This window comes from Homo sapiens, chromosome 1 (assembly GCF_000001405.40).
Source record: "Homo sapiens chromosome 1, GRCh38.p14 Primary Assembly".
Taxonomy (NCBI): domain Eukaryota; kingdom Metazoa; phylum Chordata; class Mammalia; order Primates; family Hominidae; genus Homo; species Homo sapiens.
This window is the reverse complement of record NC_000001.11, coordinates 7,566,200-7,592,425: the sequence shown is the minus strand read 5'-3', so window position 1 is coordinate 7,592,425 and position 26,226 is coordinate 7,566,200. Positions and strand designations below refer to the sequence as shown.

General features: G+C 52.6%; 1 protein-coding gene across 24 annotated transcripts in view, besides 2 other annotated features; it reads right to left on the bottom strand.

Annotated features, from left to right (window-relative positions):
* The window catches only part of CAMTA1 (calmodulin binding transcription activator 1), a 984,253-nt gene that overhangs the window by 177,281 nt on the left and 780,746 nt on the right, over window positions 1-26,226 (bottom strand). The gene's annotated exons all lie outside the window — the stretch shown is intronic.
* Window positions 5,317-6,037: an enhancer, noted in NCBI's record as "H3K4me1 hESC enhancer chr1:7646449-7647169 (GRCh37/hg19 assembly coordinates)". NCBI's record gives its function as "activates a minimal SCP1, AML or CMV promoter by ChIP-STARR-seq in naive H9 embryonic stem cells {active_cell/tissue: H9 hESC(naive)}" and the evidence as "EXISTENCE:reporter gene assay evidence [ECO:0000049][PMID:30033119]".
* Window positions 8,490-8,989: an enhancer, noted in NCBI's record as "H3K4me1 hESC enhancer chr1:7643497-7643996 (GRCh37/hg19 assembly coordinates)". NCBI's record gives its function as "activates a minimal SCP1, AML or CMV promoter by ChIP-STARR-seq in primed H9 embryonic stem cells {active_cell/tissue: H9 hESC(primed)}" and the evidence as "EXISTENCE:reporter gene assay evidence [ECO:0000049][PMID:30033119]".

The following is a 26,226-nucleotide window of genomic DNA, read 5'->3' as shown; positions in this document are numbered from 1 at the left end:
GCGGGCAACACTACTGCAAGGTGCCAGGATCCAACAGACCCCCAGCCTACCGAATGTGCCGCAGGGGAGGCGCACTGGCGAGAGAGATGTGACCAGATGCTGTCTGCTGCCAGTCCGGTGAGCTAGCACAAAGGGGAAGGACAGTGATGGCAAGGACAGTGATGGGCGTGGTTGGGGAAGGGGCCTTCAAAGAGGGCCACTGAGCTGAGATCTAAACTGTGAAAAGTGGCTGGGTGCGGTGGCTCATGCCTGTAATCCTAGCACTTTGGGAGGTTGAGGCGGGCAGATCATCTGAGGTCAGGAGTTCGAGACCAGCCTGGCCAACATGATGAAACCCCATCTCTACTAAAAATATAAAAATTAGCTAGGTATGGTGGCATGCACCTGTAATCCCAGCTACTTAGGAGGCTGAGGCAGGAGAATCACTTGAACCCACAAGGCGGAGGTTGCAGTGAGCTGAGATCCCGCCATTGCACTCTAGCCTGGGTGACAAGAGCGAAACTCCATCTCAAAATAATAAATAAATACATAAATAAACAAACAAACTGTGAAATCCAGGCAGCCACACAAGTCTAGGGAGGCGTGGCGGGCAGAGGGAGCTGCCAGGGAAAAGCTGTGAGCTTGGCTTGTTTGCAGGAAGGAAAGGAGCCAGCGTGGCCTGAGCACGGTGGACCATGGGCAGAGAGATCCAAACTGAGACCCGCGGGGCAGGTGGGAACCAAACAGTGCAGGGCGCATTCTGGCCAGAGTGGTAACTTGGATTTCACCCTGAGAACAGGAGTCACGGGAGGGATTCTAGTGGCCACTGACCCTCCAAATGGGAGGGTTTCCCTCTTGTTATCACAAGCCCTTTCTTGCCATTTGATTTGCTTAAACAATGAAGAACTGATTAGAAGTTTTAATTATTCCTGGAAACTTTGAGGCCTTGGAGCAGTGTGCAAAGGCCTAGTTTCAATGTTTTACAGTAACAGTCTGTTAACAAATTCCAGACTTAATTTATCCAAGAACTTGTTAAAATTCCCTCTGTGCAACCACAAAGGAATGGGCTTTTGAAGTCATTTACTTACCAATAAATTACAATGGTCTGAAATCATTAGCAGCAAAGTAAATTGTTTTAATTGATCTGAACTTCGTTATGACCCAGGGCCTCCGATTTTGTGCAACTGCACTTTCTAAAGGTCTAAAATAACAAATTAATCTCTTTTGAATCCTGTCATCTTTGGATCGGTCCTTTCTCAGAGACCAGGAAGGAACAAGAATCAATGGTGGGTTAGGGTTTGCTGCAGCGCCCGGGAACTGCACAGAAATACTTCAGTTTCGGAGTGAGGGTCTAGTCCCAGGTTACTCTTCCCATTATGGGGGAAATGGCAGACCGCAGAGAACCCAGTGTCAGTTTCTGGTCCTGGGTTGTGGTCACACACTTGATAATCACGGAATCACCAGTCCTATCTGTTCCGTGCACTTTTCTGTAGGTACAGTATATATGACGATAAAAACAAGAGCAAATGTGAAAGTAAAAATATACTTAAAAATAATTAGAGAGGTTTTGTCTGGTGATCCTGATTCTCAGACGGCCTCCTGGAAAAGCCCTGCCGTCAGCTCTGGGGAAACTCCCCTCTCTCTCTGGGCTCTTCTCTGATGCTGCCAGAGTCTGACACCCACTGCCCAGTCTCTCTGAGGGTGGGCAAAGGTGCCGGTCCTTTTGAAAGCAGGACCATAAAGTGACCAGGGCTGTGCTTTGGGACACCTCTAAGGTTCTCCCCAAAATTAGCGCTGTCTGGTGGAGGGGAGGGAGTTGGAATGCTGGCTGGCTGTCAGCCAACCGCCCACCCCAAGTATGCTAGTGGGTGGGGGCACCTCCAGCTGTAGCCCTCATGAACCACCCTCCAAGGTGCAGGCAGCAAAGCCAGACTGTCTCAAATCAGAGATGCCAGCCCAAGGGGCCACTGCAGGTTCCCTGGCCCTTAATCCTGAAGAGCCAGCGGGGCCTGGTTATATTGTGGTGGGTAGATGAGTACAGGGTCCCAGTACTCATCCAAACTGCCCCCACCAGGGCCCACACCTGCTCTGACCCTGTGGAATGTGCTGCTCTATCTGCCTGAAATTTTCCTTCCCTTTATCTCACTGCTTCCACGTAAGAGGCTCAGGATCAGCCCTGGCCAGGGACTCATAGCAGCAGCAGGGCCTTGATGACTCGGAGCTGTGCATGAATCCTCCTAGAGCTGCCTTGATTGTGAGGGCCGTGTTGGGGGCTTATGTCCTCACCCCTGCCTTAGGGAGATGCTAGCCCTGGGACACCCTGTACGGGCAAATAGGCAATGTTGAAGTTCAGGGCGGAGACTTCCAGGAAAAGGATCCAAACTCAGGGCCTGGCCCTCAAGTTCTTCTTTCAGGGGCAAGCTCCATGCGATCGTACCAAGCCAGGGTGTGCAAAGGGCTTTAAAATCCCATCTGCACACAACCCCGCCTTGTGCAGCCAGCAAGAGGGAGGCTGATCAAACAAGAGGAGGCCAGGGCTGAAGCCACACAGCCAGAAGGGCAGCCGGGGTTTGAGGCTATCACAACAGTTTATCTTGGCAGCATTGATGGAGGGGCCTCGGGAGGTAACTGTGAAATTTACAAGTGGAGGATGATTTGCATCTGAGAAAACCCTCCTCTTATTATTCCTGGGATAAAAGGAACATCGAGGCAAGGGCTTTGGGGGTCTGTCCAGAGGCCTCATCCAGCCTCCCTGTCAATATCACTAGAGTAGAGAATTTCTTTCCTAGAACGTGGAGCAAACCTTGCAGGATTTACCCCGCAGATGCTGAGCGACAGAGGTCGAGGGAAGGATATCTGGAGCCAGCGGAGACAACCACTGCTGGTCAGAACTGCAGGCCTGCACAGAATGACGGACACCATGCGTCAAGCCGTCAAGCCACAAGCGCTGACTGCTCTCACCAAGAGGATTTGCCTCCCCTGGGTCCCCAAGCATCCCACAGTCAAGCTGTCCTCCTTCACTTGGAAATGACACGAAAATGTCACAGGAAAATTGACTTGAGGACATCTGCTCCTCAACACCTGAACAAATGCAGGGGACATGTGGGGAACCCTGCCACAGCGGCCGGGGTGTGTAGAGCCCCCAGGAAGAGGGCAACACCCACCCCTACTTGGGCACCCTCTCCTTGGTAGACCTGAGGACAGGCACAATGCCCAGCCCAGTGCCCAGTAAAGGCCTGGCTCTGCCAGGAGGAAGGGGAGGGACCACAACACCCTGACCCTGTCGGCCCTCAAGAAAGAGGAGCCTGGGGCAAGCGTCTTTCTCCAGAAGGGGGAAATGTGATGGCACTACAATTCCCTTCCCAGCTAAGCCCTCTTCTCACGGAGGAAACGAATGCTAATGGAAGCAGTTAAAATGGAAAGGGAGTCGGTTTTCTGGCTGCGCAAAATTCTGAGAAGCGATTGAAGGTAAATTGCTTGGTTTTCAATTTTAAGCTGCACTTATCCAAGCACGATCAGTCTTCCCTGATCGTGGCAGAAAATAATAAGCACCTGATGCGGGGTTGCCCTGGTGCCCAATAACATGGTGGGACTGCATCCCCATTTCATTACAGAAGACAGAGTGCACTCTAAGCAAGTTTATTGATATGATAAATTGCCCCGTCACTTCCCTTTGGGTGAATCTCCTGCCTGGAGCTGTTGGTCCCGCTCCAGGGGCAGGTACCTCACTGGCAGAGAGCAGAGGTCCATCTGGCCGTGCTGCCAGGAGCCCAGTCGTGGCCCTGGGGTTGCCCTGCAAGGGAGGGAACAACATGGGCCACTGTGGCTGGGGCTGCTCAGATCGCCCTGGCCTGGAGCTGCATGGGACCCGAGAGTCCAAGGTCTGGAGTCTGCAAGACCTGGGCTCCACTTCGTGGCCTTGGGCACACCAAGCTCTTCAGCTCAGCTGTCAAATGGAGGTGGTGATGGCAATGGTGAGGGTTTTGATAAAACGATGCTTGCAGAGGCGTTAGTGTAGTGTGATTACGAAGCCCAGGGCCTCCTGAGCCCCTGGGGCCATCCCCCGCCCGGACCATCCCGACTGTGTGTGGCAGAGCAAAGGGCTCCAGACTGCAGAGCCACCTCTCACCAGACCTGACAGACCCGGGGTCCCCAGCAGGGCCACACCAGCGTGGGTGTCAGAGGCAGTGAGAACTGGGGCGGGGGTTGTCTGGCCACAGGAGCTTGTCCTGGGGTAGGGATTTTCCTGGCTGAGAGGCAGAGAGAGACCTTGCCAATGGGCAGGGCCTGTGACTTTCTGTGGGATCCCAGCCCTGGGGTCTAGTCCCATAGCCCCAGTGACCCAGAACAGCACCCTGGGCCACTGCCAGGCCAGCCCAGTGCCCACCTGCACGGTGGAGGCTGCCACACGCACTTGAACGAGGAATGAATGGCCAGGGCCAGGCACCGATAGGGGATCAAGGACCTGTTCTCCCAGAAGCTACAGCTGCCATCTGGGCCGAGGGAGGCGGGTTCTGGGGAGGTACCCGGTGCTTTACGTTTCCTTCCAGGAAAAGCCATTTCATCTCTGAGCCTGACCTCTCAGGTCTGCTCTCTCTGGGGGCTTCTCTGTTCCCCATGACCCTCCCATGGGGAAGGGGTGCCTCCAGGTTCCTGCCAGCCTGAGACATGACACTGCAGACCCTGGTTGCAGGAGGAGAGGTTCCTGCAGAAGCTGGGCGCTCGGGGGAGCCCAGGTGTCTGCAACCCATCTGAGGTTCTCATCTCTAAACACTTCAGATGAAGATAAATGGATCTGAAAGGAGCATATCCCCCTCAACCATGTAAACACAAGGCAGCAGACGAGTAAGTAACATTAGGCCTGACATGGGGAAGCTGCGAGGTATTACTCACCCTGATAAGTTTAATGTATAATTTAGAAACATATCATCAAAATGGGAAAAAAGGGAAGAACCTCTTAAATAACTCTGAAAGATATTCAGCGCTGAAATCACGGGCGGTTAGAGTGGAGGGCGTGCTGCCGACTCACCGCAGACGCAGGCCCCACACTCCCGGTAATTGGGTTTAGATGGATCTGTGAGCAAAGCCCTTTAGGAAGGAAAGATTCACCCTTTCCAGAAGTGGGGAAAGGGTGGGGGTCTAGGGTGGGGGTATCTGTCTGGCCAGGGCTCTGCCAGGCACAGCAGGGCCGCCTGCAGGGGCGGCGGGTGGATGGGCTCAACTCCAATAGGCTATGAATTCTTCGTGGCGGCTGTGTGGGCCCCCCACCTCCTGCCACAGAGGCCTCTTCCCTCTCACCTGGTCTGGGATGGGAGTGGGGAAGGGAAGGCGTGCAGACAGACAGATAGAATGACTGGGGAATAGGAACAATTCTAGGCATTGAAACCCCTCCCCTTCTGGGGGAGCTGGTGGTGGGTGCAGGTGGTCATGGGGGCGGGGGTGGTTGGGGACATCACAGACCCCTGCCCTGGTGTATCTGGGCTACTTTGAGTCCACCAACCCCTCTTGAGTGGCACAACCCCTCCCCTAGCCACAAGGTGGGGACGTCCCCATCCACACTGCTATTGTGCTTCTCTGCCCGCCCCACAGCAAGGGGCACCTCAGTTCCACCGCAGCCACCGTGGGAGCCACATGACCCCTGCACAGCATGGGGCCCCTCTGAGCCCCTCCTATCTTCCTGGTCACATCTCAGGGCTGTCGACAGTCCCCCACCCCTGATCCCTGATGTGGTGAGGACCCAGTGGGACCAGGAGGAGACCGTGTCGGCTGGTGTGCCCAGGCGGGGGTATGCTTCTACCCTTTCCAGGTATTGTTGCCCAGCTGGTGAGCTGAGGGCAGAGGAGTGCTGGGGCAGGAGGGAGGCTGCAGGCCCATGGGGACGGGGTGGTGCCAGTTAGGCCTGGGCCCTGGAGCAGGGCTTCACAGCCTGGCCTGGGCGCCCAAGTCACGCCTAGGTGTCAGTATTGTTTGGAAGCTGCCAGGAGGTTCGGTGTGGCTGCAGGGTTTAGAACTCCAGGCTGGAGGCTGAAGAGTGCCCTTGGCTTGCAGCATGGGCTTTATCTCGGGCCTCTGGGGAGCGCAGATAAGGCGCCTTCTGCGATAACGGGGAGGACTCCGACATTTGAGCCAAGGACATTTCCCTAATTTCTGGACTTTCGTCTTCAGAGTGCGTCCACAGCCAGCCCTCGAGGCTTAAACTCAAGTGCGGATCCCCACCGCTGGGCCCTGAGATGCAGCTGCAGGGAGGGGCCGCCCACACTGGAGGGTGCCCGGGGCCCTGAGGGATGGATGCAGCCAGGTGCCTGGCTGGGAGTGGAGCCTGGCTGGGAGTGGGCGCCTTCCTCCTCCTCCAGGCTCCTCTGGTTCTCATTCCAGCTTGTTCTCACCACCTTGTCTGTTTGGGAACTGCCCTGGCTACCCCAGCCTTTTCCCACAATCTTGGGGATTTCTACCGCAAACTTGTCCCTGCCCTGTGAGTGCATGTGAGGAGCTGGACCCAGGGTCCTGGGGGACACAGAGAGGAAGGCTCAGCCCAGCTGGGAACCAGACAGGTTTACATAATGAAAGCCGCATCGAGAGGGGAGGTGGGAGGCAGGGGAGGTGGGGGCTGAGTCTACTAAGGCCCCGCAGCAGGAAGCTGGAGGTGGATGAGGGACAGATGAGCCGTGTCTCTGGCCTGTCTGTCCACAAGAGAGCCCCCCTCTAGGATGTATGAACTGGGCACCCCGCATCCTGGCCATTCCCCTCCTGCCCCTTGAGGCTACCTATTCTTGTCCTCCCATGGCCCATTGTCCTCCTGCAGCCTCCTGCCCTTGCCCTCTGCACCAGTAGCCAGCGTGATCCCATGTTCACGTTCTTTCACTGGCTCCCCTCCACACTCACGGTGAAACCCCAAGTCCTTACAATGCCCATGGGCTGGACCCATCTGGTCCTGGTCACCTCTGTAGCCTCGTCACTCCTATGGGAACCCACTGGAGTAGGCTGGGCTCCTGGCTGTTTTTCAGAGACTTCAAGCTTATGTCCACCCCAGGGCCTTTGCACATACTCTTCCCTCTGTTAGGACTGCCATTCCCTAGATCTGCTCCCAGCCCATCCCACCGCTCTCAGGGCTCTGCCAGGTGCCCCTCCGCAGAGGCCTCTTCTTGGCTACTCTATCCGCAACCCTCCCGTACCCCTTCCTTTACTCTGCCTGGCTGTCGTTACTGCATTTATCACTATCTTAAATTATATTACAGGCCCACAATCCAATTCCAAAATCCATAAAGCTCTAAAAGCCACAGCTTGTTCATAACTCATTTGGTGGCAAAACGTGACCTGAACTGATGTGAGGCTACTTATAGTCTCAGTTCATCCCTCTTTGTGTGAATATTCATAAATTTTGCTGCAGAAATATTAATGCATCTGATTATGGGGTGCTACTCCACATCCCGCCGGGGACATTACATAATATATGGTCTATGTACCATATTCTGTTTCTAAAATGCAAAGTCTGAAGTCTCAAGCCACGTTTCTAAGCCTCGGCACGAGTACTGGCGTCGTAGGCCGGATAACTCCACCGTGGGGGCTGTCCGGTGCATTGCAGGATGTTTACAGTGTCCCCGGCCTCCACCCACCAGATGCCACTAGCAGCCCCACCCTCAGCTGTGACAACCGATAGCATCTCCAGACACTGCCAGATTGCCCCATGTGAGGACCTCTGGTCTAGCTAAGTACACCTGGCCTTAGGGGTTTCAGATGAGGGGCTGTGCACCTCTCTCCAGTTATTTATCTGCTTACATGAAATATAAACCCCATGGGGGCAGAACCCCTGTTCTTCTGTTCTCTGCTGCATACCCAGCATCCAGTGGTGTCTACCCCAGAGCGGGTACTTAATTCTGACAAAGATTCCTTCCTTTGACTAAAACTTTAGTTAGGGTCTACTGAGTCCTCTGCTTGACTCGGCCCAAACTCGGGCTTCCCTCTCTGTCGTGGGAGAATCCAGTGTGAGCCACAATCCTGCCGTCAGCTTAGCAGAAACCCCCACCTTAGTATCTGACCACCCTCCACATCATCTCCTCCTGGCCTGCCTGCAGGCCTAATCCGAGCGAGACAGTTCAGCCGGAAGCCCCCGACCCTTGGCCATCCTCTCAGTCAGCTTCCGTCCCCTGATGCCCCCTGCTCCTTGCTGATAAATCCCCACTTCTCCTTGCTGGAGTCAGAGTTCAGCCTGATCTCTCTCCCCTACTGTAAGACCCCATGGTGGTCCCTGAACCTACAGTCATGGCGCCCCTGGAATAACGTCTGCCTTATCATCTTTAACAAGCATCATGAATAAAGTTTTTCTTTAACAATACAGAATTGTGGCACAAAGAAAGAAAGTGTTATATGATTCCTCTAGCAGAGTCCCCACCCTAAGGGTTTATCAGAATGTCCGTGACACCCCCTCTCTGAGCAGAATGCCATGGACGCCCCATTCTCCATCCCAGCTCATCTTTGGGGATGCAAGAGCACCCGTCAGAGCTCAGGGTCCCAGGGGAGCTTCCCAGAGCCCAGATCTGATGCCACTCTCACGTGGCCAACCTCAGACTATTGATCCCTAGGGTGAGGACAGTGATCTGGGTCTACCTCCCGGGAGACGGCACCTTCTAAGTGGCTGGACACCCACTCACCGTGTGGAGTTGAACCCCCCTGTGTCTTCCTGTGCACCTGTGCAGGTCTGGGCACCAGGGCAGACCTTGTGGATCAGAGTGGACTTGGGACGGGACAGAGCCTCCAGACGACCCTCAGAGTCTGGTCACTGCCCCCCAGAGGCGGCAGAGAGTGTCAGGGATAAGCTCTGGGATGTGGCTTTTGTCCTGGCAGAAATGCTCAGAGCAGGTTCCACACAGGGGAAGACTGCTGGGTCCTACCCCACACCTCGTTCCATGCAGGGCCAGCCTCTGCCTGCTCACATCTAGCTCTCTTCTGGTGCAGCCCGGTCCACCAGAGGACAGCCCCAGCAGTTAGTCACACCTTCCTTTCATTGAGCCAAAATCCTGCAGCCCCCACCTGCTGGCCCCAGCTCTGCTTCCTAGAGCTCAGAGTACCCTGCAGCCCACAGTGTGTCCGGCATCCTCAGGCTGCCTTACTTCCCATCGTGTAGGGGGCTGATCTTCTCGGCTTCCCAGGACAGGCCTGGTTCAGTCTCTGCACCCCTTCCACACACCTGGGCCTCTGCTTGGCTCCTCCCTCCTTCCACACACCCCCATGCAATGTGGAACTGAGTCTTCTCTTCCCCAGGATGATGGGCAGGTTGGGGAAGGGATCCCCTTTAGGCCCCCTGCTAACGCCCCCTGCTCCCTGCTGATAAAGACAGGGCGCTGCCTCACCACTGGGATGTGCCCAGTCCTCAGCCTCACCTTCTGGTCCTTCTTAGCTGATGGCCACTGGAAGGTTCTGGAGCGTGTGCACTCCAGGCCAAGGAGACCACACTTGGAGAAGAGGGCTCTTTTACACCCAGCAGCTAGGGGCAGACAGACAGGTGATACTGTGCTGAGAGAGGACGGGCCAGGGTAAGGTCTGGGTTACAGCCATGAAACCCACCGAGAGGCTGCTATTGTGCCCAGGGCCCATTTCCTTCTGGTTCCTCAGTCCCCAGTCTCCTGGGTGCACAGCTGCCTGGACAGCTGTGTGACACTTCCCAGCTCCCTCTGCAGCTAGCCATGTGACTCTGCTTGGCCAGTGGTTTGTGAGCGAAAGTAGTATGTGTGAGTTCCAGGAAGTGTTCTTAAAAGGAGGGGCTGTGCCTCTCTCCTTTGTAGTGGCTGGGATGAAGACACGATGGCTGGAGTTAGAGCAGCCACACTGGACCAGAAGCTGCTGGAGTGGATGTTACAGCAACAAGCTAGAAGGAGCCTGGGTCCCTTGGAAATTGTGCAGTCACCACACTAGCCCTTGACTGTGTCTGTTTACAGAGAAAAGAGAACCTTTATCCATTGAGCCTCTGTTGGCTTAGATTTTCTGCCACTCACAGCTGAACCCAACCCCAGAGAATCCAGAGCCCAGGCAGATCTTCCTGCTGGAGACTCGTTCATGGACACACCCAAGGATGCAGGGTAGGGGGTGGGTGAATCAGGGCACTGAGGCCCTCAGGAGTGGGGGAAGGAGAGGATTTAGGAAATCAGGTCAGTAACGCATTGCATTATCAGAAGGACAGAGAGCTCTCTGCAAACTGACAGGAGAGAGCTCCTTTCTCTGAGCAACCGCCACGTGGGCTATCATTTATGGCTGTTGCTGTTTCCTAGCTAAAGAGGACCCTGCCGTTGCTGGGGACAGCCTCCTGGAGCACAGACTCCAGCTCAGGGATCAGAGCCAGCTCCTCCTGCTGCTGGCCTACGCGTGATGTGAAAGTTACGGAAGCAACAAATGCTGCCTTCTGTCCTCCAGGGGAACGTATCCCCAGAAAGCCAACAAGAGCAGAGAGACAAGAAGACGGAGAGAGCTTCGCCGGCACACGAATATCATCACACCATCCTTGTGGGCTGTGCAGCTTTGTGTAAACCCTACAACAGCCATGCAAGGAACACAGACACATTCCTGCCCTCTGGTGACTGATGAGGAGACTGAGACATGGCTTAAAGGAGGAGCTCAAAGCCCCTCAGTACAGAGTTAGAAACTAGAACTGAGCTGTTTGAACTCCAGAAACAGTGCTCCTTCCATTCCAGAAAATTCCCAGCAAGAGGATGCTAGCAGCCTCCCAGTGCCAGAACCGCAAAAGCTCCGGTGAGGAGCAGAAACCTAGGCCACACGTGGCAGGTGTGAACACTTGCCCCTAATGGCCTCAAGGACCGCAAGGCCCACTCTTGGCCGGTCCCACCTCCAAAGAGCTTGTCCACGGCCCAGTGGAGGGAGGGTGCTCTTGTCTAGGGCCCCTGGGTCACAGGTCAGCTTTGCCTCCTGATTTCTGGCACCCAGCCCCACCATTGTTTCTGTACTTTCTCCAAATTAAAAACCCATTGTGGCTGTTCCTAGGTAAAAAGAGTTAATTTTCAATTCGAGTGTGTGGGAGGGTGTCCCCAGGGAACAGAGTAATGAAGCCGCTAGTGCTAGTTGCAAAACAAATAGATGAATCAATGTTTCAATTTTCTCCATGTGAGAGAACGGACACTGTTGCTTAGCAATTCAGAGAACGTTGCTGCAGGCCCTTCGGAGGCAGCCATGATTGCCAGGAAAAAGTTTCTGGGGTTCCAGCCATATTGGAATGACAACCAAACTTCCTATCTTGGGGCTGCAGCTGGTTGGTGCCAGGGAAAGGGGATGATTCCAAGAGATACCCCTCAAACTTGTCCTCTCGCAACACGGTGCCCAGCAGATGTGGGAGGAGGGGCGGGGGCCCTCAGGCCCTGCTTTTCTGATCTGACGCTTCCCATGGCTCCCCAGTGCCCCTGGCACCGAGTTATCAAAAACCACGTATGTGTGGTGGCACTTTACTAAGCTCTGCAGTCGTTCCATTTTCTCAACAACCTTTTAGGGTATTTTCTATTATTATCCCATTTACAGATGAGGAAACTGAGGCCCAGCGAGGTCATGTGACCTTCTCGAGGTCACACAGTCAGGACAGGGTGTTTCACACCATATGACTCTGAACCCTCTAAGGATGGGCTTGTGATGGGCACGGGTTGGAGGAGATCTTGGTTGGGGAGGAGATAACCAAACCCTCCAAAGCCAGAGTCAAATGCCAAGTTCCCTCCGACCGGCAGCCCATCCAGGAAGACCAGCACAGGAGGGATTTTGCACAGTGCTGGGCACAGCCAGCCTCGGGGCCAGGTGCCCAGGGACCTTTGGTGCCACCGAGAATGAGCAGTATTATCAGTCTCTGACACGGCTGTCCCCAAACGTGGGAGGGCTTGGCACTTGTTAGTGGTTCCTCCATGTGCGGGTGTCCTGTCTGCCACCTGGCTCATGGGAAGAGGGCTGTGTGTCTCTGAGGTCTCCATGATGTCTTCCATGCCCAAAGTGGGGCACACTACCCCTGGGACCTCATCATGGCTCCCATCAGCCCCCTCACCTGTCTTCCTTCCTCTCCCCCAGACCTGCTTCATCTGAGCCCCTTCCTCCCTGGGTTCCCCTCATTCACAGGGCTTCCTTCCAGAAAGCTCCTCCTCTTCTCCACCTGCCCCCATTCCCCCCAACAGCTCCCACGGTCCAGATGTGGACAACCCCCCAGGAGCCTCAGCCTCCACAGCCCCAGGGGGAGGGAGCCCTCCTTCCTCTTCTGGTCTGAACACAAAGACCTTGGCCAGGAGCTCTTCCCGCTGCCTCAGTTCACATACCAGTGTCCTCTCGGACTGTGAGCCCGCTGTGGGCAGGGATGCTCCCTGTGGTCCGCAAGGCCCAGCTCCTAGCTGTGTGCCTGGCACAGGCCAGAGGCCAGAATGCATGTGTGAGTTGTGAGTTGACCGGAGAGAGGGTGGATTCAGCTGAGCTGCCCCAAGTTTATGGAGCCCCCACTTCTCACAGTGAATGTCACTTGGGTGCCACGACCCAGATCTCAGAACTGTCCCAGTGACGCAGGAGAAGGACATATTTTTCTAGAGTTCTGTCCAGAAACTTAAGAAAGTGGACTTTAAGGCTGGGCGCGGTGGCTCACGCTTCTAATCCCAGCACTTGGGGAAGCCGAGGCTGGTGGATTGCTTGAGGTCAGGAGTTCGAGACCAGCCTGACCAACATGGTGAAACCCCGTCTCTACTGAAAATACAAAAATTAGCCGGGCATGGTGGTGGGCGCCTGTAGTGCCAGCTACTCAGGAGGTTGAGGTGAGGGAATCACTTGAACCTGTGAGGCGGAGGTTGCAGTGAGCCGAGATTGTGCCACTGCACTTCAGTCTGGGTGACAGAGTGAGACTCTATCTCAAAAAAAAAAAAAAAAAAAAAAAAAGAAAAGAAAAGAAAAGAAAGTGGACCTTAGAGCAAAACCAAATGGACCTCTTGGCTTGCCACCTCCAGGTGCCGAGACCTTGGGACATTCCTGAACTCTCTGAGCTTTTCCTGTCTACACAACGGCAGGTAATAACAGCACCTGAGGGCTGTCATGAGGTTCCCCAAGCCCACGCTGCCATGCCCAGGGCCCTCCATCCATGCCACCATCGTGACGGTTGTTGCTGTGGCACAGATCTGCTTGGAAGCCTCGCCAGGCTGGCAAGACTTCTCCAGGCCAGGCCAGGGACGGCAACCATGCAATGGTCAAAGTGTCCAAAGGCTTGGGCATGAGGGCTAGGAGGACTGTGAGGGTGGAGGGGCAGCCTTGGTGCCACCAGAAAGTGCCCAATCTCCCCCAGGCACGTCCCTCTCCATGTGGCCTCAGCCACTGCCCGTCTGTTGCCCCAGGTCTCAATGTGGCCTCTTGATGTAGAGGACAGACCTTTCCACCTGTCAATCCCTCCATAAGCCTGAGGCTTCTGCACTCAGTAAAGCGGGGAGGCTGTGCTCCCTGGAGCAGGGGTAGTGGTGGGAGAGCCTCCCACGGGGATGGTATGAATGCCTTTGCCACAGCTGTGGGTTGAATGTGTCCCCTAAAGCTCATGTGTTAGAAATTTAATTCCCAATGCAACAGTTTTGGGGGACTTAATAGGAAGTGACTGGGTCACAAGGGCTGTGCCCCCATACACGCATTCGTGCCACTATTGAGAGAGTGGGCCTCTTGCTCTCTCTCTTGCCACGTAGTGCCTCCTTCCATGGGATGATGAAGCAAGAAGCCCTCACAGATGGGGCCATCTGTCCATCTTGGACTTCCCACCCTCTAGATCAGTGGGATTCATACATTTCTGCTCATTGTAAGTTACCCAGCCTGCGGTTTTCTGTTAGAGCAGCACAAAACAGACTAAGACAGCTCCATATCCACAGGGCACGGCCATCCATTGCCACGGATATGGGAGCCGCTTGGATGCACGTGTCCTTTCCGGCGACCCTGTCGGTAGGGGCGGAGGGCAGGTGAGCCAGCCCTTCCCCAGTGGCATCTGTGGGACCCAGCCTCCACACCGCTTGGCCCTTGCCCTGGGAACAAGGGGTCTTCCCGAGCAAGCTGCTGTGAGAGCCTGGCGGGGAGGGACACGTGGCTTTGTCCTTGGTGCTCCCGGCTCCCTGGAGGACCCAGGGCCTCGGCTTTCTCTTTGTGGAGAAGCCACTGGATTGTTGATGTGCATGACCCTGGAGCAGGCCACGGCCCCTGTCCTCCCCTCCAACAGGATCCACAGAGGGCACCTGGGTGTGACCACCTAGATTCTTTTAGTGAACTTTCCTAAACTGTGTTTCAAGAGAGACATGAACAGGGGTGTGTAGGGAGAAAAAAAAGTTCCCAGGTCCTCTCGGAAATCAGGGCTCACAGTCAAATGCGTTAGGAACATGTGCACAGTAACTCCCATCATGGGGACTCACAATGTGAGATTAACATATTAAACAGTCTGGGAAAACCCATCAACCTTTGTTGTACCCAGTGTTCCCTGAACTCATCTGACGGCAGAATCCTGTTTTTGTGGGGCAGCAAATAACGGTGACCTTCAACTATAGTTTTGAAAATGATGATCTAGGCCAGGGGTTGGCAAACTATAGTCCATAGGCCCAAATCTGGCCCGCCATCTATTTTTGTAAATAAAGTTTTATTGGAACACAGCCAGTGCATTCATCGATATATTGCCTCTGGTGGCTTTTCTGCTACAATGGCAGTGTTGGGTAGTTTCAACAGAGACCACAAAGCAGAATATACTATCTGACCATTTAAGAAAAAATTGGCTGACCATTGCTTTAAATAAAACCTTATGAGACCACTGTAAAGACATGCAGGACGGTGTGAGTGTGAAGAACATCAACCCATTTTACACCACCGGGAGCGTTTGCAGTTAGGAAGGAAATTCAATGCTTAAAAAAAAAAAGGGTTGTAGGGGCATCTCCAAAACAAAGTCCCTGGGCACGTGTCTAGATGGGACTTCCTTCCAGGCCGGCTGGTGAGTGAGAATGGTCAGAGCCTGTGAAATTCCCGACCAGTCACAGGCAACCGTTAGAGGGAGCCATGGTCTGTGACGGTGAGAAGGAGTGCTGACACAGGTGGCCTTGCTTCCCTCCTGAGGGGCTGGGAGAGGTTGGGGCTACTCCTTAAAGTTTGTTAATCTGCAAAAAATAAGCACAAGGGGGGGCCCTTTTCAGTGATGGCACACCTCGTTCTACACACCAGATGAGTTTCTGGAGCACATAGGGAGGCCACAGTCCTAGCCAAACAGAGGTGACAGGGATCTGAGGAACGTCTCCTCCAGGCCTCTGATCTCACAGCCAAGCACACTGGGCCTCCGGGGGAGGACGATGCTGGCTTGTTGATCCCTCACACCAATCAGTCCCATCTCCCCAGTGCAGAGGCACAGCCCAGGCTACTGAGTCCCTTGGGTTTGACTCTCGGCTTGAGGAGTTGTGGCGTTCAGCAAAGAATAACCACAAAGGCATTAGCTGGCATCTATTGAGTACCTATTCTTGGCACCCCATGCATTCAGCCCCTTTCTCCACTTTCAGAGCCATAAGACAGATCTTCATTAACAAATTCCCTGTATCTGTGATGGCCAATCCCCCGTCCTCCTACCTCTCTGCTCTGGTGGATCCTGCACACCCCTGCCAGGCAATCTTTCCTACAATCCGACCTTCCTGGGGCCATGCACTCTCTCAAGGATGGTTGCTGGCTCCCTAGTACTGCTCCCCTCAGCTGCAGCACCCGCTCCCATCACTCTCCACCGTGTGGCATCTCAATCCATTCTGCACCTCACATGTCTTAGTCCATTTGGGCTGTGATAGCAGAATATCATAGTCTGGGTGGTTTATAAAGAACAGAAATGGATTTCCAGTTCTGGAGGCTGGAAAGTCCAAGATCAAGGCACCATCAATTCAGTGTCTGGTGAGGCCCCTTCCTGGTTCCTAGACAGTGCCTTCTTGCTTGCGTCCTCACACGGTGGAAGGTCTGAGGTGTCTCTCTTGGGCCTCTTTTATAAGGTTTTATAAGGGCACTAATTGTATTCACTCATAACCTAAACAACGCTCCAAATCCCCACTTCCTAATACCATCACTGTGGGGGCTAGGATTTTAATGTATGAATTTTGGGGAGACAACACAAACATTTGGTCTGTAACAGGAAGGCCCTTAATTGGCCTGGCACGGTGGTTCACGCCTGTAATCCCAGCACTTTGGGTGGCCGAGGCGGATGGATCACCTGAGGTCAGGAGTTGGAGACCAGCCTGGCCAACATGGAGGAACCCCGTCTCTACTAAAAATACAAAAAATTAGCCAGGCGTGGTGGTGGGCACCTGTAATCCCAGCTACTTGGGAGGCTGAGGCAGGAGAATTGCTTGAACCTGGGAGGTGGAGGTTGCAGTGAGCCGAGATTGCACCATTGCACTCCAGCCTGGGTGACAGAGCAAGACTCTGTCTCAAAAACAAAACAAAACAAAACAAAACTGAGCCCCAGTGCTGAGCCTCCTGCAGTCAGGCCCGCCTCCTTGCTCCATTTCCTTGATCGCCCCTCTGCCACCTCCCTCCCTGACGTCTCCAGGGAAGCAGGAACTGGAGGGCCCTCAGAAATCACTGAGAATGGCCTTGCCTGGCAGTGCAAATTCCTTCTCCGAGTGGATTTCCCTCAGCTTTCCTCTTCCCCAGGGTCTCATCCAATAAGGTGTTACCACTTAGCTCTATGACAAGTAAGTAACAAGTGTGCCTCATCTTTCCCTGCCTACACCTGGGCCAGACATTACTAATCAATCACTGCACTCTTTCCCTCTGAGCCAGAACTCAGACTCCTCCTTGATACATGTTATTTAAAGTGATGAACCCTTTTGGCCATGGTTTTGCTGGGGCAGAAACTGAGGCCCTGGGCAGGGAGGTGACTAGCCCAAAGTCACATGGGCATTTGAGGCAGAGGCAGGCTTAGATCTCATTTCCTTTCTCCTGCCTCAGGGCTGTACACATGACAGGCCATCTGCAAACTCTGGTTCCATGTTCTGTAAACTGGATTCTGCCCCTAAGAAACAGGAGGAACTTAGCTTGATATGGGGCCTGTGTTCTGGGAGGACGTCTGACCCACCTCCCTGCCTCTCTGTTTGGTGGGAGTGATTTTGATGCACTAAAAAACAAGGAGGCCTCTATCCAGAGAGACAGAGTCGGGGCAGTGTGGGGTAGAGGAATTCAGTGCAGAGGCACAGCTCAGGCTACTGAGTCCCTTGGGCTTGACTCTCAGCTTGAGGTGTTGTGGCATTCAGCAAAGAATAACCACAAAGGCATCAGCTGACATCTATTGAGTACTTATCATTGGCCAGAAACAGAGCTGAGCACCCAACATGAGTTATTTCATGTGATCCTCACCACTATCCAAGGCAACAATATTAGCCCATTCTACAGATGAGACCACAGAGGCACAGACAGAAGCAGAATCCTGCTGCGTCAGAGGCAGGGAATGTGCATGAAGCAGCAGCCCAGAGCTCAACATGCGGCTGCCACTAGGCTTAGCACTATTGCTGGTCGACATGTCCGTCCTTCCCTGGTGGAGCTCTGGGACTGGGCTGGGGTTGGGGCACGGACCTCTCAGTAAGCCAAGAGCTTGTGGGTCTGGGGCCTGCAAAATGAAACTGGCAGGTGGAAGCCAAGTTGGCTGGAGGTGGGAAGCCTGGAACTTTTCTTCCATCTCAGCCAGCCTGACACCTGGCCTCTCTCTACCTGACCCCTGAAAGTCTAAAGACTGTCCCCAGGAAGGCACAGACGGCTGAGGTTAGCCGGTTGGCTTGGCACGGGACAGAGCTGGCCAGGCGGACCTCTCTGCATCGCGTCGAGAGGAAGCTAAATAAACAGCCCGTGTTCTCTGGAAAATGACCCTGCTGATCCTGGAGTTAAAAATAGAGGCATATTGATCGTGGCCCGTGCCCAGTGAGCGTTAGCAGAGCTTCACTGGCAAAATGACCGGCCTGAGTCAGCCCCTCAGGTAATTTATTTTTCCACTCAGCTGGCCAGGGAGCATCCCTGCACATCCTGGGCTGTGCAAACGAGGTGCCACGTGTTCCCCAACACCACAGCTCACTTGCCAGGGCTCCCTGATGGGGGCAAGGGGAGTGGGCTGCCCTTCCTTCCTGGGTGGGTTCAGGCACCGCCCCATTTCCACAGTCATGTATAACGCCTGGCAGTGTCTGCTTGGAAGGTCTGTTTGGCAGGTGCACAGGACCAGCTCGCAGCTCCCAGCTCCCAGCCCTTGGCTCAGAGCTCGGCACATGGTGTTGTGTCTTTCTCCTGTTACTCCCTGCACGGCCCACATGCTGCCGCCTGTCGGGTGGACACCTGCAGGGAAGCCCTGAGAGCCCTCTCCTGGCTCAGGTAAATTGAGCCTTTATGGAAGTAATTTGTTAAGATGAGGTCATGCATGCCTGTAATCTTCACACCTTGGGAGGCTGAGGCAGATGGATCACCTGAGGTCAGGAGTTTGAGAACAGCATGGCCAACAGGGTGAAACCCCATCTCTACTAAAAATACAAAAATTAGCCGGGCATGGTGGTGCACGCCTGTAATCCCAGCTACACGGGAGGCTGAGGCAGGAGAATCGCTTGAACCCAGGAGACAGAGCTTGTACTGAGCCAAGATGGCGCCACTGCACTCCAGCCCGGGCAACAGAGCGAGACTCTGTCTCAAAACAACAAGAACAAACCCAAAAAAACCCAAAAAACGATGATGTCATGCTGCGGTAGAGTGGTCCTAGATGCAATAGCTGGAGAGACACACTAGAGGCACCCAGGGAGAAGGCCCTGCAAAGACACAGGCCGAGATCAGAGTGACATAGCTGCAAGCCAAGGGGTACCAATGCTTGCCAGGAGCCAGCGGAGGCGGGGAGGCCGGGCATAGGCTCTCCTGGAAGGAACTGGCCCTGCTGGCGCTGTGGTTTTGGACATCTCTGGACTCCTGCACCGTGAGAGCATAAATGTCTGCTGTTTTAAGCCACCCGGTCAGTGGTAATTTATTAGGGCAGCCAGGGACCACTGTTCCCTTCATAGAAACACCATTATCTGGATGGCACGGAAGCAGCTGTGGCCCCGCTGAGCACAGGCAAACCTCAGGCTGACCAGCAGTTCACTCTCCAAAGCCTCAGTTTCTTTGACCCTAAAATGGGAACCATAGTCCCACTGCCCAAGAGGGTTTGTCAATCTGTGTAAACTCCATGGTGTGCCCAGCTGCAAAGGTGCAAGGGGTTCTGGGGAGCAGGGCCCTGGCACTCTGAGGGTTAAGTAGGGTGCTTTGCCAGGTTTTTCTTTCCCCAGTTTCCATCGATCCTTAGCATGCTAACCCTGTTCCTGCATGCCACTCCATTAGGTTTGCCCAGTGCAAGAACTTGAGTCTTGTCCAGGAGTAAACCCTTCTGAACCAGAAAAACAAATATGGCTTAAAATAAGACATTGCTTCCTGGTAGAACACAGGCCAGGCATAAGGCTTTGGTGAGTTCAGGCGCCGGCTGCCTGTTTCTGGAAGAGCTGGGGCTGGGCTGGGGCTGAGAGGGATGGGCAAGGGGGTGGCTGTCCATACAGATAGCTGGATCACAGGTGCGGTTTCTTATCAGACTGGGCCCTTGGCCAGCCCTGGCAGCCTTTTATCTTCGTCTTCCATTTCCCTTCTGTCTTTAGCAAGCTTCCTTTCTGCTCTGGTCTGAACATGTGTGTCTTCCCCCAAATTCCTATGTTGAAATCCTAAACCCCCAGGTGATGGTATTAGGAGGTGGGGGTTTGGGAGATGATTGAGTCACGGGGATGGAGCTCACATGAATGGGAATGCCTCACACCTACAACCATCTAATCTCTGACGAAGCTGACAAAAACAAGCAATGGGGAAAGAACTCTTTATTCAATAAATGGTGCTGGGACAACTGGTTAGCCATATATAGAAGACTGAAACTGGACTCCTTCCTTATATCATATAAAAAAATCAACTCAAGATGGATTAAAGACTTAAATGTAAGACCTAAAACCATAAAAACCCTGGAAGATAAGCTAGAAAATACCATTCTGGATATAGGAACTGGCAAAACTTTCATGATGAAGACACCAAAAACAAGTGCAACAAAAGCCAAAATTGACAAATGGGATCTAATTAAACTAAAGAGCTTCTGCGCAGCAAAGGAAACTGTCAACAGAGTAAACAGACAACCCACAGAATTGGAGAAAATATTTACAAACTATGCTTCTGACAAAGGTCTAATATCCAGAATCTATAAGGAACATAAACAGATTTACAAGCTAAAAACAAACAACCCCGTTAAAACATAGGCAAAAGGACATGAACAAACACTTTTCAAAAGAAGACATACATGCGGCCAATAGGCATATGAAAAATGCTCAACATCACTAATCATTAGAGAAATGCAAATCAAAACCACAATGAGATACCATCTCACAGGAATCAGAATGCCTATTATTAAAAAATCAAAAGGTAACAGATGCTGGTGAGGTTGCAGAGAAAAGGGGACACTTATACACTGATGATGGGAGTGTAAATTAGTTCAGCTATTGTGGAGAGCAGTATGGTGATTCCTCAAAGAACTAATAACAGAACTCCCATTCGACCTAGCAATCTCATTACTGGATATATACCCAAAGGAATATAAATTGTTCCACCATAAAGACACACGCATGCATATGTTCACTGCAGCACTATTCACAATAGCAAAGACATAGAATCAATCTAAATGTCCACTAACTATAGACTGGATAAAGAAAATGTGATACATATGCACCGTGGAATACTATGCAGCCATAAAAAAAGAGCAAGATCATGTCCTTTGCAGCAACATGGATAGAGCTGGAGGCCATTTCCTAAGCAGACTAACACAGGAACAGAAAACCAACTACTGCATGTTCTCACTTATAATTGGGAGCTAAAATAACAAGAACACATGGGCACAAAGAGGGGAACAACAGACATTGGGGCCTACCTGAAGGCAGAAGGTGGGAGGAGGGAAAGGATCAGAAAAAAATAGTTATTGGGTACTATGTTTAGTACCTGAGTGATGAAATAATCTGTAGGCCAAACCCCTGTGACACAAGTTTACCAACATAACAAACCTGCACAGGTACCCCGAACCTAAAATAAACCATAAAAAGTGTAAAGAAAAAGAATCCTCATAAACTGGATTAATGGCCTTAGAAAAAAGGCCTGAGAGATATCCCTTGCCCCTTCCACCCTGTGAGGACGCAGTGAGAAGATGGTTATCCATGAACCAGAAAGCCCTCAGCAGACACTAAGTCTACTGGGACCTTGATCTTGGACTCGCTGCTTCCATAACTGTGGGAAATAAAGTTTGGTTTGAAAGCTGCCTAGTTTATGTCATTTTGCTATAGCAGCCCAATGGACTAAGACACTTTGTTTTCCATGAAGGTGAAGGCAGTTGGGCACAGATTGTTGCAGAGCATGCACAGGCCTGGCTCTGGGAGGGACACCTTACACCTTACAGATACACCACCTTTAATCCTCACAACCTCCGGCGACACAGAAAGGCTGCCCATCTTGAGGCAACTGAGGCTCAGAGTGGTTAAGGAGCCTCCTGACATCACCCAGCTGGTTCATGGGGGAGGCCAGGCTTGGATTCTGACTCCCAGGCTCTCTCCAGTCTCCGTACCCTATCCCCATCCTCGCATGATAACACTGATTTTCCCTCTGCGGTGGGGGGTGATGGAGAGCAGAGGTGAGGCCCTTCAAACCCACCTGGGGAAGCAGGGGTCCCAGGCAGGGTCTGTGCTGACACAGCAGGAGGCTGACAGGACCTTGGCCTTGGTGAACAGGGCAGTGCCAGGCTCAGAGAACAAACTGGATGAACCAACCAGCAAGGCACCCCTGCCTTCCACTTTCAGGACAAAGTTCAATGGCACTAGAGGACTTTCCTTAATTAAAAGTTGATAGCAGAACAGCCTCCAGGTCTCTGGCTGGGGCCCATGTGCAGCCAAACTCCTGCTGGTGACTGCCGACATCCTGGGCCAGCCCTTGGCACATGCACGGGCTGGTCCGGGTTTGCCCCTGGCTTCCTCCTCCCCGTGCTTCCTCCCTCCACCCTTCCAGCTTAAGCAATAAGTTCTCCGGCCCTCTCTGAAAGGGCCCCAATTCAGGTTACAGTGTAATTGACCTACAGTGGAATGTAGGAACTTTTAAAGGAAGGGTTGCATCTCCTCAGGGATCAAAAGCAGAAGCCAGGGAAAAGAACTCTCCTGGATGAATTTCAGGATTGGATCACAGGAAGGAGGTGGCGTGAGGGGCAACCAGTCCTGCAGGGAGTTTTGGATCCCCCCAGTGCCCAGCAAGGGATCCCTGATCTCCCACCCAAGGTCTCGGTAGAATTAAGCAAGACGGCCCCAAGGCCTCCCAGGACCCCTAATGATCAAAGCAAAAGCCATTTTAAATTGATACAGTCTTTAATAAGGCAGGGAAATGGACACATGATTTTAGAACCTTTTCCACTAAGAGTCCAAAGGATTAGGCAGGGCAGTTAGCTTATGGGAAAACTCACTTCCTGGGTGTTTCCTGACTAAGGGGACCTGACGATGGCAGCTAGGATGGAGGCTGCAGGGGCTGGGATCCAGGACACACTGTCTGCACCTGGGTGGTACAGTAATAATAATGATGGTGATTGGTGATGGTGGCGGTGATGATGGTGATGGTGGTAGTGATGATGATGATGGTGGTGATGATGATGGTGATGCTGCTGCTGATGGTTATGTTGATGACAATGGTGGTGATGATGATGGTGATGTTGGAGAATGATGGTAGTGATGGTAATAGTAATAATATGATGATGGTGATAGTGATCATGATGATGATGATGAAGATGGTGATGGTGGTGATGACACTGATGATGATGGTGATGTGATGATGAAGATGGTGATGTTGATGTGGTGGTGGTGATGATGATGTTGGAGAATGATGAAGGTAATGGTAATCATATGATGATGGTGATAGTGATCATGATGATGATGGAGATACTGATAGTGGTGGTGATGATAATGGAGATGGTGATGGTGGTAGTGATGATGATGATGATGGTGATGTGGTGATGATGGTGATGTTGATGATGGTTGGTGGTGGTGATGGTGGTAGTGATGATGATGATGATGGTGATGTGGTGATGATGATGGTGATGTTGATGATGGTTGGTGGTGGTGATGGTGATGTGATGATGATGATGGTGATTTGGTGATGATGATGATGATGGTGATGATGATGGATGATGGTGGTAATGGTGATGATAAGGATGATGATGGTGATAGTGACCACGATGATGATAGTGGAGATGGTGATGATCGTGGTGATGATGATGGAGATGGTGATGGTGGTGATGATGACACTGATGATGATGGTGATGTTGATGATGGTGGTGGTAATGATGATGATGGAGAATGATGGTGGTGATGATGGTAATGGTAATAATATGATGATGGTGATAGGGATCATGATGATGGAGATAGTGATAGTGGTGGTGATGATGATAATGGAGATGGTGATGGTGGTAGTGAGATGATGATGATGGTGATGTTGATGATGGATGGTGGTGGTGATGGTGATGCGGTGATGATGGTGATGTTGATGATGATGATGTGGTGATGATGATGATGGTGATTTGGTGATGACGATGATGGTGATGTTGATGATGGATGGTGGTGGTGATGGTGATGTGATGGTGATGATGATGGTGATGTGGTGATGAGGATGGTGATGTTGATGTTGGATGGTGGTGGTGATGGTGATGTGGTGATGATTTTGATGGTGATTTGGTGACAATGATGATGGCGATGTTGATGGATGGTGGTGGTGATGGTGATGTGATGGTGATGATGATGGTGATGTGGTGATGATGATGGTGATGTTGATGATGGTTGTCGGTGGTGATGGTGATGTGGTGATGATGATGGTGATGCTGATGATGGTTGTTGGTGGTGATGGTGATGTGGTGATGATGATGGTGATGTTGATGATGGTTGTTGGTGGTGATGGTGATGTGGTGATGATGTTGATGGTGATGTGGTGATGATGATGGTGATGTTGATGATGGATGGTGGTGGTGATGGTGATGTGGTGATGACAGTGATGTCGATGATGGTGATGTGGTGATGATGCTGGTGATCCTGATGAGGGATGGTGGTGGTGATGGTGATGTGGTGATGATGATGATGATGATGGTGATTTGGTGATGATGACGACGGTGATGTTGATGATGGATGGTGGTGGTGATGGTGATGTGGTGATGATGATGGTGATGTTGATGATGGATGGTGGTAGTGATGGTGATGATAAGGATGATGATGGTGATAGTGATCATGATGATGATAATGGAGATGGTGGTGGTGATGATGATGATGATGGAGATGGTGGTGGTAGTGATGACGGTGGTAATGGTAAACATTTATTGATCACCTTATATCTGTCAGGCAATATTCTATGAGCATGCTATTTATTAACTCACTTAATTCTGGCAACAACCCAGTTAGGTAGGTGATAGTATTATCCTCACTTTACTATGTGGAAACAGGCAATGAAAGTTTAGGTTATATACCTGAGGACAAATGGTTAACAGTGGCAGAGCCCAGCTGTGATCTCAGTTTGTTTGGGACCGGAGTTTTCTCTCTTCACCTTTCAATGGGTGGTGATTGAGCCCAGGATAAAATACATGGCACAGACTTGAAGTCCATAGACTGACTGCCCATCTGAATCACCCCAGCATCTTGTGAAAATACATATTCCACAGCCACTATAGGCTCTCTGTGGCCCAGGCCTGAGGATGTGCATTTTCATAAGGTCCTTGGGTGATTCACATGTGGATAATCCAGGACCAAGGTGGGACCCACCAGTGCAAACAACCCACCAGGAAGCTGGGCTGGCACAGGGGTTGGGCCTATTGGCCTGTCTCCAAAGCACGTCTCCCATCCATCCACTGCTTTCCCTGTCATCGGCCACCACCTGTGTTGACGCCACCATTTCCCTGTCCCACTGCTACAGCTTGGCTGAGAGCTTTCAAATACTCAGACTTGTCCCTTACCTCTGCTTCTGCCTGCCATTCAGGTGTATGTCTGCAATTGCATGTCGAGTGTGGAGGCTCTCCTGCAGCTGGCCCTCCCCTGTCCTTCAGGGTCCCTGTGAGCAGTCCTGCCTGCCCTGGTCCTCATCACCACACTTCGCCTGTGGTTCAGACCTCAGGGCCTGCCCTCCATGCTTCCATGGTGAGTGGCCTTCCTCCGCTGCCACCATGGGCCCCTTCTACTCTGCCAGGTTGCCAGCCAAGCTGCCTCCTCAGAGTGCCTTCCAGAACCACATTCCGGGAACGGACCCCTGCTCTGGAGTTATTATCCACACTTGAGGTCCCCGTCCCCAAGGTCACTCAGCTGGCCTCACTTATTTCCCTAACAGCTGTCTGCTCTGAGCCTCCTCCATCCCAGACCCTGACCCAGGGTGGGACACACAAAAGTCCCCATTTTCATGGATCTGCTACGCTCACTTGTTTTAGCTCCTTCCTACTAGCAGGCAAGGTCCATGAAGACTGGCCCATGAAGACTGTGTCCGTGTGGGCACAGAGGGGGTGCTCGGGAGTCTGGCAGCATGTGAAATGCTCCTAGTGCCAATCTGGGGCTTGGGCTGGTCTCATTGCCCTCCCCGCACGATGAAGCCCACTGGGCATAGAAGGGAAAGACTGGACATCTCGTTGTCTTCCCTCCTGATGTGCAGGGATGAGGCTGAGAGAGCCTTCTAAGTGTGACACAGCCCAGAGGGACTCAGGCCTCTGGGTGCCTGTGGAGGGCTCTGTGGCCCAGCCAGGCTGAGGTCTGGGTGTCACATCGGTTTTGAGATCTGCAAAGCCATGGTCATGTGATTTTCTTGGAGCTGGGGCTGCCTGCCTGCTTAGGCCAGGTTCTCTCTGCTCATCAACAACCACGGGAGGGAGGGAAGAAAGGAAGCGAGGCAGGGGCTGGTGGGAAGTTTGAGGGGCTGGGCTGGGTTCTCTTTGGTATTCTGTGCAGTGCCTGCCTGCAACTCGGTGGGTGCTTAATAAATGTTTATTACGAGTAACAAAACCAGCCTTATTTACACTAGGCCTATCTCCAAAGGCTGCTTTCCATACTTAAAAATAACCTTAATCATCTCTCCCAACATCCTCCAGAGACAGGGTCGATGGCTCTTTGCCATTTATAAATGGAAAGAAAGGTCTAGAGAGGGACAGTGAGTGCCTGGGGGTCACCCAGGGGCCCAGCCCGGCTC